General features: G+C 39.9%; 1 protein-coding gene and 1 long non-coding RNA gene across 6 annotated transcripts in view; one reads left to right on the top strand and one right to left on the bottom strand.

Annotated features, from left to right (window-relative positions):
* The window catches only part of GALNTL6 (polypeptide N-acetylgalactosaminyltransferase like 6), a 1,228,156-nt gene that overhangs the window by 372,033 nt on the left and 842,132 nt on the right, over nt 1-13,991 (bottom strand). The window lies entirely within an intron of this gene.
* The window catches only part of GALNTL6-AS1 (GALNTL6 antisense RNA 1), a 96,947-nt gene that overhangs the window by 57,352 nt on the left and 25,604 nt on the right, over nt 1-13,991 (top strand). For both annotated transcript variants that reach the window (NR_125895.1, NR_125894.1), the window contains exon 2: nt 5,265-5,397. This is a non-coding gene — a long non-coding RNA (GALNTL6 antisense RNA 1). The remainder of the gene's footprint in view (nt 1-5,264; nt 5,398-13,991) is intronic.

Here is a 13,991-nt window from a genome sequence, read left to right as displayed (position 1 = left end):
AATCAAACAAAAGTTTCAACTGGCAAATTTTTTCTTCAACTATTATATCTATCCTTCCTAAGCATCAACATCTACTGTTGGGGTCATTGGAGGGCCAATCCATTCTAGTGAGCCCTCTGTTCCTTGACTTAGACGATGCATATGTGAATATATTTTGAGGTAGATTATTTTTGGCAATTCTCAAACGTCTTAGTTAAGTGGGGGAGAGTACTATCTCAGTGGATAAAAGTATTAATATGCAGGTTAGCCTTAAATAAGCTCATTGCCCTCAGCCACATTTATGAGACAACAGAGGTTAAATGATATAGAGGACACAAATCAGTGGTCACTATTTTAAAATCTTGATCTCATAAAACACAACTATTACACACAATTTATCCATAGCTGGGTGCTAATGGAGTTAAGTAAATAACAGATAATCCAACACCCCAAATGATGGATTTTGAAGTCAATACCTCAGATCATTTTAATGTTCCAATATCTATATTACAGAACTGAATCTATAAAATAAAACTTTTTTTTTTCCATAAAATGTCTCTGAGTTTAATGCTTACATTTCCCAGGTTCTAGAGTTTTCAAGTTCAGTACTTCAGCCCTCTTTTGGCTGAACTGCAACCTTCCCAGCTGCCCTGACCTTAATCGATGTGGTGTTCTTCAGCTCAGAACCTCTTGTCTTAGAAACACAGCTGCTGCACTCCCCTCATCTTATTTTTACTTCTCTTTGGACCATGTGATGAACCCTTTGAAGTGGGCCATCCACAAGGAAGGATATAACCTTCAAGTAGGAGCTCTTTTTCTGTTACTTTCAATGGGGAGCTATGCTAATATCAAAAGAGAAAAGAGGCTTTTATGGCTGAGAGAGGCCAATAGATTGTGAAGCTAATTTGAAGTACCGCTGCTGATTAGGGATAAAATAAGCCAAGCAGGAGAGAAATGCTCTCTTTTCATTAGGCACCACAGGTCTGCCAGAGTGAGGGTACCCAATATCTCCTTATAATAATTATGAAAGGACTGTGATTTTGCTCTCAGCTTTTAAATTAAACCTCTTCATGGCCTAAATTCACATCGGCTGTTTGATCTTCCTCTTTCTAGGACTCCCGGTTATGACACTCTCAAATTATGTGGCTTCTCTCCTCAGTGTTCTCAAAAACGATTTGAGACTTCAGTGTTGGGAGTCTTTCTCATTACAGGGTTAGCTAAACATATAAGATTTACATAACCTTTGACATTTCAAATTTAGCTCTTGGATACTTGTGAGCTGTAATGTACAATTCATTTTTTTAAAAATAGAATTCATTCAATTCTGCTTCATTCAAATTCCTAATGTAGTCTACTAGCACTGTGGAACTCATCAATGGCAATAATACTCAAGAGCAACACATTTTTTTCTAATATCTTTTTTCATGCTTTCTAGACAGGGATTGAAATTACAAATATACCTTCTCAAACTCTCCAAATTCCATTTTATTGACCAAAGACACATTAGGGCAAAATAGACTTTGAGTCCTGGTCAAGAGGGAAGGCTATCATAAGTAGATCCCAAAATTTGAGGCATTTCTGTTTCAAATGAAGTCATTGTAATTTAATGCGGGGGAAAATGCTGAGTGGTTCATCACAGGCAAAACAGGGAGTTCCTAAAAAGTTAGGGAAGTGCTTTCCATATAAAATCCTCCCAGTGATAAGCAGGAGTGAGAGTAAGGATGTACTGCAGGCACTTGGAAAATTACTTCAAAATAAGAACTTGCAGTTTTTCCTAATCATTTGCATAGTGCAGCTGCACAAGGCAGAATTCAAAAGATGTCCCACAAAATTCCTGCTCCCTGCTGATTTAATCTAACGTGAATCGAGGAACTACTGTGAAGGGTCTTTGCTGGCTTTGAAGCAGGAGGAAGATGCCACCCCAAAAAGAATGTGGGCAGCCTCTAAAACCTGAGAACAACCAACCCTGGGCTGATTGCTGGCAGGGACACCGGACCTGAGTCCTATAATCTCATGGAATTCAATTCTGCCAACAACATGAATGAGCCTGGAAGCGAATTCATCCCCAGAAGCTCTGGAAAAGAACACACCCCGTCCATCACTTTGTGAAACCCAGAGCAGAGAACTGGCCTGCAAAATGGGTGTTGCTTTAACTGCTAACTTTGTGATTATGACAGTAGCAGTAGAAAATCAACATGGCAGCTGACACAGGCTTTATCACAGTGTTCCCTTTGGCTCTAACTATTTACTCAATAAAGTGGAAGACTTGGTACAGGGAGCTCCTAACACAGGTGATGGAGCCAGTAGAAGGGAGGAGAGTGCAATAGTTTCAGTGAGTAGCTGTAATGCTAATGGAACACAGATTCCGCTAGGAGTCGCTCCACTACCCCACATGAAGTGGCAGAGGAAGGAAGATGTGGACATGATAGGGAAAGCCTAGAAAGGAGTGAGTAGAGGATTTGAGGACACAGCCTGAACTCCACATACGCAGCAAGTGGACTTATCATTCTCGTAGGCTAAACTTGGTGGGAATAGCTTTGGAAATGAAGTGAGGTGGCACTAGATTGTCCACCAGTTGCCTGCTTTTCTCTGCTATATCCACGATGATTCACCCTCCTCAGAATCTGCCTCCTGGCATACAGTGGCTTTCACTAGAAGGCAATAGTTACACAATTCTTGCTGGAGTCCACAAGAGCTGCAAATACAGCGTAGACTAGTGCTTCTCAAACTTTGGAGTGCAAGTGGACTGTGACTCCCATCATCCTAAATAACAAACAGAGAGGGAGATGCTTTAAATGGAAATGATATTTATTTGGAAATAGGCATTGCAATGGGAATATGTGTGCCATAGTAAACTAGGTTCTCATTCAGGGTGGTAAAGGAAGACAAAAGTTTTTTAAAGAAAAATGAGGAGAATTACATCATTGTTTTGAGACAATAATCCTTGACTACAAGGGTCAATAACAAGGGTGGAATTAGTCCAAGGTTGAACAAGCAGTTGCTGGGCAGACGTCCTCACAGAATTTTTTTTGTGTGTGTATGTAAGGTTGTGCAGTCTTTGTGTGAGATTTTGGGTTTTGCAATCTTTTGTGATAGTTTTTGTTCTCAGTCATTTGTGCATGAGAAGCTTCCCTTCATGGCCTTTCCTAGCTGTATTTATCTTCCCCAGTTTTTAACACAATTGACTCCATTTTGATTCTGATAACTTTCATGCTCCATTTCAAGATCCAAACAAACCATCATTCATGTGAATGCAAAGGAAAGTTATATTTGGACACGCAAAGATTCAGAAACACCATTCACCATGTACTAGTTCTGAAAAATTTTTTTTTGAAGTATTATAGTCAAACAATGAATGTATCAAAATAAAGAGCTCAAGAAAATTGGAGGAAACATTGATAGACAATGAGGGCATAGAACTTATAGTTAAATCTAATTATGGTTAATTTTGTACATGCAAATTTAAAATAATATTAAGAATGATTTCTAAAAATTGAAGAATCATAATGTGAAATAAAGTTAGTAAAAATCTAGATAAAAAATTCCAGATCAGCAAAATAAAAATAAAGAAAAGCAGAATATGTAAGAAGGGGACAGAGGTAAAAAAGTTTTCTGTTTAAATACTTAGCATAGTCTAGGAGGTGAAAGGGTACAGGCACTATTTAATTTTCATTCTTTATGGTGATGAGGAATAAAAGGTTCAAATGTTTGTAAAAAAATAACAAAAATCATTAGTAGAATGAACATAGAAACAAGTAACATAGAAATAATGACATTAGTTTATTTATTCATTAATATAATAAATAGTTGAGTTCATTCCATTCCTTGTGCTCTATCTTATGATAGGCAAAATAGTCATAGTCCCTGCCCTTTACTATAAGTATGAATGCATATAATGATTATTATGTGAAAGGTAATGTTAGAGGAAGATAATATTTATGCATATGCATGAAACAAAGTGAAAATATTTTTACCATCCCCTAATGGAGGCTATTTTTGTGGAATGGGACTGCAGGTGTGGTAGCTATTAGCAACCATCATCAATTCTTTTTTACTTCCTCTTCCAGGGGAAAGTAAACCATGGCTACCTTTAAGTAAACCACTATACCTTGAAGTTAACCATGGCTGTGTGCCTTAATTTGGCAAATAAAATGTGTCATTTTCAGGCAGAAGATTTGAGGCAGTGCACAATTTGCTAAGTTCATTTTTTCCTTGTTATGATGCTCATGGAAGCTTGCAATGGCATGAAATATCCATCAGTGTGGTTCTAGAGAGATTGATAAGCAGAGGCCCGCAGCATGCCCTAGCCTAATCCGATGGATACAGCTGTTGGTACCAAGAAATGGAGGTGTTGCCTTAAAACAACCTAAAATGTGTGGCTTTGGCTTAATGATTAGTAGGTGGCAAGGGAAGTTTGGAAGTAAGAAGGAGGTTAGCTCGTGTTATTCTGGGATGAGAGCTTAGTTGGTGGTAGGTTAACCTGGGAGGTATATATTTGTACTTCTAGGTAAGTACGTGGCAAACATTTTCTGTAAAGAGAAAGACAGTAAGGATTTTAGGCTTTTCAAACTGTATGAGTCTCTGTTGCACATTCTTCATTGCTTGTTTGTACAATCTTTAGTTCCCCTTTTACACAATCAGGTTGTTGTCTGGATTTGGACTACAGGATTGCCAAACCCTGTTCTAGGGAAGTGCTTAGTTTTTAAAGTGCATTTGAAGTTGATTTTGGTTATTGTTGACTGCATTTGTCAGGGTGCTAATAAGACAATAACGAGCTTACAAAAGAACCGGCCAATTTGTATGTAGGAAGAAAGAGAGTCTAGTTTGGAGGATTTGCAGTAAGGAATCTTACCCTTTTAAAAGATGAAGCTGAGAAGGTCTTTGAGAATTACTCTTGCAGCAAGTATGAATTCTAGGTATGACTGTCACACCTATTGTTAAAATCTTTGACTCAGATCCATGACCTAGTAAAGGCGTGGTGCCTAAATCTTTTTAATTGGACAAAATGGCTCTCTCACCTAAACTGGATAGTCCAACATACCTTAGTTATGTCCAGAGGAAAAGAGACAAGAGATTTGGGTGTTATAAAGCAAAAGTAGCAAATAGAAGTATGTTTGGAAAAGAAATGTAGGTATTGAAGAAATTAAGTAAGGTCTTCAGAGAACTGTACTGTCAAATGAATCACAAGCTGAAACTTAAAGGGACAGAGGCTGTTTGAAATTTTAAAATAAAGAATTATGAATGAGTAGATGTTGAAGTGCATGATCCTTTAATATACATTCCAGATTGAAGGACAGAAGAAACTCAAAGGAAGAACATCTTAGAGGATGGAGTCAAGAATTTTGGAAAACTGGACAAGAGAACCCTTCCAAGACATAAGAACTGCAATTTAATACGGGAACATTCTCTGTGCCTAAGGTAGTAAACCTTCACAATCACTGCCTAGATTCCAGAATTGCTATCAAATGTCTGCCATGTAGCCGATATTCTTCCCTTTTCTGAATGTGAATCTCTTTAGAATTATTATGTATTTATTCTGCAGTTGCATATTGGGTGTGGATGTGTGTTCAGGTGGCAGTTGGGCATGTAAGTCATCTTTCTTTCTTTTTTTTTTTTTTGAGACAGAGTCTCACTTTGTCACCCAGGCTGGAGTGCAGTGACATGATCTTGGCTCACTGCAGCCTCTGCCTCCCAGGTTCAAGCGATTCTCATGCCTCAGCCTCCCGAGTAGCTGGGACTACAGGCGTGTGCCATTATGCCTGGCTAATTTTTTATATTTTTAGTAGAGATGGGGTTTCGCCCTGTTGGCCAGGCTGGTCCTGAACTCCTGACCCTAAGTGAGCCACCCGCCTCAGCCTCCCAAAGTGCTGGGATTATAGGCGTGAGCCACTACGCCTAGCCAAGTCACCTTTTTAGTTCATAGATTTCTGGATGAAGTGAAATCACATCCAAACCTGATACAGAAACCACCACATTATTCTCTGATACAGGGACTAGGATATGTCACCAGGAGATCTTGAACTCAGAGCTGATCCTCCGACTAGTGGGACCTTGGGGTTGTCCCGCTTAGGGAGGGGTTGAATATACAGTACATGGGGAAAGGAGAGGAAATCAAGTATCTGGTGAACAGAAGGGTGACATTAGTCATTAATGCTATACACTTAATATTAGTATTTCCAGTTATCTATCCTTCTAGGCTGGTAGTCCGATTGCATTTCTCTGCCCTTTTAAGTAACCCCCATTAGATTAGCCTTCTTTTAGTTCTCCTACTGTGCTCGCTCTCTTCTTGTTACAAGCTTATGCTGAATATAGTACCCAGAGTGATACTATTATAGTTCAGATCACATATTCCCATTGCACCTAGAATAGAACACAAACCTCTGAACAGACCTGAAATCTCTGGGATCAGATTTCCAGCTGCCTCTCCAGCCCCATCTTAAACCATTCTCCACCCTCCACATGTTTACTGCTGGGCTTCACAAGGATTGTGCTTCCATTACTTTCTCATGCCAAGCTTTTTCTTGTCTCCGGGCCATTGTACTTCTTCTCCCCTGCCCAGCAGGCTCTTTCTCCAGATGTTCAAATGGCTGAGATTTCTCCTTATCCAGGTACCAGGTCACATATCAGCTCCTTGGAGAAGGGAGGCTGTTCCTGACCTGACCACCTCCTTTGAAAGAGCCTTATCATCCCCTGTCTAATCTCTCCAGTCTGTTTCATTTTCTTCTTACTTTTTACCACCATCTGAAATTATTTTTTTGGTTGCTTATTTGCCCAGCTTTCTCTAGAAAAAGAGAAGATTCAGCAGGGTCTTGTCTGGCTAATTTCATCACAGAATCCCCAGAGCCTGGATTAGCTGGACACCTCATAAGCACTCACTGGGTACCAATTGAATGAATCCATTGATGATAGAGTATACCAATTAGGCAGGAGCAAATCACCACCCTATCTCAGAGGCTTAGTATGATGCAGTTTACTGCTCTTTCAAGGCCCATGTTAATTGTAGGTGAATTGACGTTTCTGCTCCAGGTTTCCCGTTGACTGAGCTGTTACTAACTATACACTGCCGATTATCGTGGCAGAAAGGAGAAAGCAGACAAACTATAATGAGTCTTAAAAATCCCACCAGAAGTGACACAGGTCCATTCTGATCATATTCACCTAGCCAGAACTAGTCACTAGGTCAGATCCAGCTTCATGGGGTTAGGGAAGGGCAGTCCTTCAAGATGTCTGGGAAGAGAATTGGAAATATTTCGCAATTAGCAATAATGACTGCCTTATAGAAATGATCATAGTCACTGTGAAGCCCAGCAGTAAACATGCAGAGGGTATAGAAATGATCCCTCTTCTTTTCAGATCTCAACTGAAATATACTATCCACAGTAAAGCAGTTTTCTTTATCCCTTAAGCCAGCTGCTTCTCAAATTTAATGTGAACACCAATTATCTGGGGATCTTATTAAAGTGCAGGTCTAGAAAGGGGCCTGAGATCCTGTGTTCTAAGTAGCTCCCAAGTGATGCTAATGCTGCTGGCTTGTAGACCATGCTCTGTGTAGCCTGTCTACAGGTTTCTCTTAAGTACAGGCATCCTTCTTATTAGCACCTGTCTCCATTTATACATTTGCATGATCCACTTTTCCCTCAGATTCTGAGCTCCATGACATCAGGGACTGTTTTGCTGTCATTCACCCACTCACCATTGTTGCCTCCCTGTGATAAGGGTGTTCAATAAATATTAGCTAGACTCATGAGTTGTTGATTTCCTGGATTTCTAGGACTAGTTGCCTATTTCTGGATATGTGCCCAAAGTCCTGGAACATTACTGGAGCTTGGCATTTAGTGGCCCTGAAATTGGCATGTGCTCTTTGGAAGAGACATTTTTGGCCATGAGCACTCCATTATTTGTTGAATATATATTAGCATATACTATAACAATTGCTTCTTTTGGGTTTGGTTACTAAAGTCTCACAATGCTAGCAAAGAATATTATAATTAAAATTAAGCAGTAACTATTCCATTAATGTAACTGGGTTCTTATCTTCTGCATTCCTGAAGTTCATCTTGTTATTTCCAGTGTAGTCAGTTTACTCACCGTGTTAGCCAGTGTTCTCCAGAGAAACAGAACAAACAGTATGTATGTGCATATATATAAGACAGCTTTATTTTAATGAATTGGCTCATGCAATGATAAAGGCTTGATGAGTCCAAAATCTGATGGAGTTGACCAGCAGGCTGGAGACCCAGGGGTGAGTTGCAGTTTGAGTCCAAAGGCTCTCTGCTGGCAGAATTCCTTCTTCTTGTGGGGTAGGGGGTGGAGAGGTGAGGGGCTGGAGGTCAGTTTTGTTTTATTGAGGCCTTCAACTGATTGTATGAGGCCCATCCACATTATGGAGGGTAATCTGCTTTAGTCAAAGTCCAGTAATTTAAATGCTAATTTCATCTAAAAAACCCCACCACAGAAACATCCAGGATAATGTCTGACCAAATACCTGGGCACTGTGGCCCAATCCAGTTGTCATAAAATTAACCATCACATTCACCTTTCACATTCTTAAGAATGACTCAAATCTCCCTGGTAATGAAAACGACCTTAACAGGCCATGTATAAAACCTCTGCAGTAGGTCAGTTTAATATTCATTTGTGCTTTGAGTTCATTTAACACTGTTATTAGGACTTATTTTAAACAACCAGAGCTGGCTCAGAGGGAAGAGGGTAACTTAATTACCTTCTCATTTTAGTAATATTCATATTTCTTCCTTCCTCTATAGCTGCCTTTAATTCTCTGCTATAATTTATAGCATTATAATTAGGAGTTCTGACGACATACTTGAGCAAAGTGTGTGCTTATGGATAAGTGGGGCCATTAATGGACTAGGAAGTTTGGGTCCTGTCTGTTTCCTTCACATGACTTTGAAAGACAGAGATGCTTAGTTTTTAATACATGAATGACAAGCAGCTGCTATAACTCACTCACTGTTAGCCAGTACTAAAAAGGCCAGCCAGCTGGAGCAAAGCATTTGAAAATAAAGGCAAGGGCAATCTGAACTTCCTCAGTGAGGACAGAGTATTCCCTCCAGTTCAACATTCCGCTTCCTTGAGATATGCTCCTCAGGTGACAGCTGTGAAGGGAAATGCTAATGATCGTGTATGGGCAGTAAAGTTGATGCCTTTTGCCCCTTGAGGGAAATGAAACAGATGCCTGTATCTTCTTAGGCGTCAGTTCTGTGATCTAATTGAGGCTACTGTCCAGCATTAAATCTAGAGTATGCTCTAGTGGGTCTTCCTATGATGCCAAGGGTGAGAGAGTTGTGCCAGTGCTGTAGAATACTGGCCATCATAGTTGTTTTTATAATTCTTCAAAATGACAGCCTGACTTTGTTTAGATTTACACTAACTTTGTGATCTTGGCTGAGCCAATTAATCATGGTTGTTTTCCTCTTTTCTAAAAAGCAACGTATTTCTGAACATTTTAAAATACATTGAAGGGGAGGAAGGAAAGGTTGAGGCTGAAGTGATGGAAGGCAGAATAGCCCAGTGGTGAAGTACATAGGTCTCCTGTCTGTATCAGTCAGGGTACAGATCAGAGAAGCAGAACCAGTAGAAGATACATAGTAAGAGATGTGTTGTAAGAAACTGGATTATACAATTGTGGGGGTTGATCTTCAGGAAGGGCATGCTGGAACTCCTGGGGAAGAGTTGAAGCTGCTGTCCTCAGGCAGAATTTCTTCTCCAGGGAAGCCTCAGCTCTGCTACTAAGGCCTTTCAACTAGTTGAAGCAGGCCAGCCAGATTATCTAGGATAATTACCTTACTTAAAGTCAACACTTATAGAATTGAATCCTATCTATAGAAAACCTTCACAGCAACATCTTAGATTAGTGCTGGATTGAATAACTGCAGACTATGGCCTATCCAATTAGGCACATCAAAAAGACATCACAGTGCCCCAAAAGCTTGATCCTTCACTCTCATGGAGGTAGAGAATAAATGGTGGTTACCAGAGGCTGAGAAGGGGTGAGGGGATGGGGGAATAAAGAGGGGCTGCTTAAAGAAGGGACAAAAATATAATTAAATAGAAGGAATAAGATCTAGTGTTCAGTAGCACCATAGGACGACTACAGTTAACAATAATTTACTGTATACTTCAAAATAACTAGAAGAAAAGATTTGAAATGTTCCAAACATAAAGAAAAGATAAGTATTTGAGGTGGTGGATATCCCAATCACCTTGATTTGATCATTACACACTGTATGACTACCAAACTATCACATGTACCCTATAAATATGTTCAACAGAGCATACATAAAAATTTTAAAAAAGAAAAAAATTAAAGCTTTTATGATTATTGAATAAAAGAAGGCATCATACTGCCCCAAAAGCTTGACCCTTCACTCTCTGTGAAACTTATGCCTTAGTACTCATTCATTCATTTATAAATTAAACAAATCATAGTATCTACCTCATAGGATGCTTGTGTGGATGAGATAGGATTAAATGATCGAATACATGTATGCTGCTTACAATAAGATCTGGCACAAAGTAGCACTCAATAAGCAGTTTATGCTTTTTCATGCATTCTTACATTAAATATTAAATTTCATGGTATCACCAAGTTTTAAGCATGATTTTTTTTAAGGTGAAGAAACTGAAGTAGAGAGAATTGAAATGACTTGTCACCAACGTGTCTACTTTAGTTAATGCAACCAGGGCTAGAAAACATGTTTACTCTGATGCTTTTTATAGCTGAGATGACTGTCACCATCAGTGTGTCTGTCATTACCAACATGATTTTCAGAACTTTAAATCATTTATACATAAAACAAAATAACCTCAAGGTGTAGCTGGGGCCACCTCATCTTTTTAGACTTCAATGCATTTTGATTCAACACCCACAAGCAGTGGTGGCTAATTCGATGTGCTTCCTAATATCATCGGGGATTCTTGGGAAGACATTTCATTCCTGGCTTTGACATCCCTGTCCCCGTTTCCCCCTTTTGTGCCCAAATTTGAAATGTGGCCCTATTTCCTTGTACCCACAAAGATATTTCTTTTTTTTTTCTTTTTCTTTCTTTTTTTTTTTTTTTGAGACGGAGTCTCTCTCTGTCGCCCAGGCCGGAGTGCAGTGGTGCGATCTCGGCTCACTACAAGCTCCGCCTCCCGGATTCACGCCATTCTCCTGCCTCAGCCTCCCGAGTAGCTGGGAATACAGGCGTCCGCCACCACGCCCGGCTAATTTTTTGGTATTTTTAGTAGAGACTGGGTTTCACCATGTTAGCCAGGATGGTCTTGAGCTCCTGACTTCGTGATCCACCCGTCTCGGCCTCCCAAAGTGCTGGGATTACAGGCATGAGCCACTGCACCCGGCCCCACAAAGATATTTCTTTTTTTTTTTTTTTTTTTTGAGACGGAGTCTCGCTCTGTCACCCAGGCTGGAGTGCAGTGGCGGGATCTCGGCTCACTGCAAGCTCCGCCTCCCGGGTTCACGCCATTCTCCTGCCTCAGCCTCCCGAGTAGCTGGGACTACAGGCGCCCGCCACTACGCCCGGCTAATTTTTTGTATTTTTAGTAGAGACGGGGTTTCACCGTTTTAGCCGGGATGGTCTCGATCTCCTGACCTCGTGATCCGCCTGCCTCGGCCTCCCAAAGTGCTGGGATTACAGGCGTGAGCCACGGCGCCCGGCCCCCACAGAGATATTTCTGAGTGTGCCGACCGTTGACTGGTTAGAGAGTGGGTTTATACATAGCCATATCTTCCCTTAACCCCACTTGCCATAGAAATTAATCAGTCACTTTTCCCTCACACTCTTTCCTTTCACACCCTAGTCCACACCCGCAAATTTTACTGACTACTTTTGTAGAGTTACATGTCTTTGAGTGAGGTGAGAGTTGGGTGCTAGTGTGAGTTCACACCCTTCCCTTCATATACCAAATGGCCTGATGGTGTATTTTCTAAGCAAAATCAGTTCTTTTCCTAAGAAACTTTTAAAAAATTCTATCTAATTCTAAGGAAACAAAAAATTTAGTTTTCAGACAATGCCTTATTAAGGTATGAACATTTTCACTATGCCTTTCAAAATAAAAAACAAACTCACAAAGACTGATTGGTAAAAAATAGCTAGCAGCTATGGGCTTATTTTACTTCATGCTTCAACTCTTTGCTGACCTTTAGAAGATGAATTTCTTCTGTATTGCGTAACTGCTGTTCTGCGGAATCATCATTAATTATCGCGAGCCACAAACAAAACCCACCATGATGGATTATCTCACAGCATAATTACTGACTCTAATCATAGACAGCTCAGGCTCAGAGGTGCTAGGTATCCGGACAGTAAGTTTTGTGTGCGTATTTCAAGAAAGTATCATGAAGCTTGAAGAAGAGAAAAGAGAAAGACTATTATTAGTACTAGCAGAGCTCAGTGGCCTATCAGCATGTATTTTTGACTAATGGTTAACAAGTCCACAGTGAAATCAACAATGGTTACAATCTTGCCTCCTCTTTCTCCTCCTCCTTTTCCTTTTTCTCTTACTAATGAAAGGAGGTTATTGCAATTTTGCCAAATAATGAGACCTTAAACCAAATTCCCTACCCTGTGCTCATAACAGAGCAGAAAGAAAAAAAAAATAATGTCCTTCTCATTTAACTCAATAATATTGCATTATAGATATATCTGCTCCTACAAGCAATTCATGTTAAGCAAGCACATTTTTCTTTCCCCAGTAGACTGTGCAAAGCACGTCTGCTCTAGTTTTCAAAAGACGAAATATCTGTGTGCCTCACAGACAAGTTATTTGTTAGAATTAAAGGGAAACTTTAAGGAGTGCTTAGGCTCTCAGGATTGACCTTCAGCCATCTCTTATACAAGGAAATTAATAGTTAATTGGTCACTTTAGTGGCCCATCTGAACTAAGCAGCTTAATAAAGCAGTAAAATATGTGTGTTCCTTTGAGAAACAGAACACCGTGTCATTGCATACATGGGTAAAGAATGATGCTTAGGAGATTGGAAGGCTGTGTCTAGAAAAGGGGTGCTCAGGAATCTTGTCTGTATTCTAAAGAGCTCATTTGTCTCACCAGCACCACTATGTTCATATCGTTTACTCAGTTTCCATGTAGTAAACTGTAGCCACATCAGACCAATCCGGTTCAACTTTTATGTAATAAAACTGTGAGTTGTTTATCAGTTGACATGGATTCCAAGGTTGAAGGTCACATAATCTGAGCATGCCCAGATGAACCTAAGTGTGCTACCACAAGGGGAACTTGAGTGCTCAGACTTAGGAGCAGGGGCTGAATTAAGGAGCAGACACTGCATGGCAGTGTCCAGGATCCAATCAGATTGAACTTCGGCATCACCCAGACCCAACCCTCGCTCAGGGAGACAGATTTGAGCATTTCCTCCTGTCTCCTTGCCACGTGACTTTCAATAATGCTTTTCTTTTCTCGAAAGCTGGTGCCATGGTATTGGCCTCTGTGTACCTTGGGCAGTGAGCCAGTTGATGCTAGGTAACAAAATGACAATGCAATAGCATTAATTATATGGTGCATTTTTAATAATATGTGGCTTATCACATGTGTTTTTGACTAATGTTTATCAAATCCACAGTAAAATCAGCAATGGTTACACTCGTTCTTTCCTTTCATTCTTCATCCTTCTTTTTCTCTTCTTTAATGAAAGGAGGTACTTGCGATTATTTCACTAATAAAATTTGAAACCAAATTCTCTACACTATGCTAGAAAAATGTGGATGATGATACATTTAACTTATCTTATTTTTTGTAAAATAAAATATTTTCAAGAACAGAATTGCCAAAATATGTTTTGGGAATCAAATTTGTTTCCAAGGAAATATAACTCTAAAATTATAATGTAGAAAATTTGACATATATATTTGGGATACTACTCTTGAGGTCACGTCTTTTTATAGGGAGGAAATAAGACGTGCTTTCAGGGCGGAAGACACCTAGGTTTTGTAGTGTCAACTCTGCCCTTTATGAGCTGTGTATATTTGGACAAG

This window comes from Homo sapiens, chromosome 4 (genome assembly GCF_000001405.40).
Source record: "Homo sapiens chromosome 4, GRCh38.p14 Primary Assembly".
In the NCBI taxonomy this organism is placed as follows: Eukaryota; Metazoa; Chordata; class Mammalia; order Primates; family Hominidae; genus Homo; species Homo sapiens.
The sequence above is the reverse complement of the archived record's forward strand: the minus strand, read 5'-3'. Positions and strand labels throughout refer to the sequence as shown.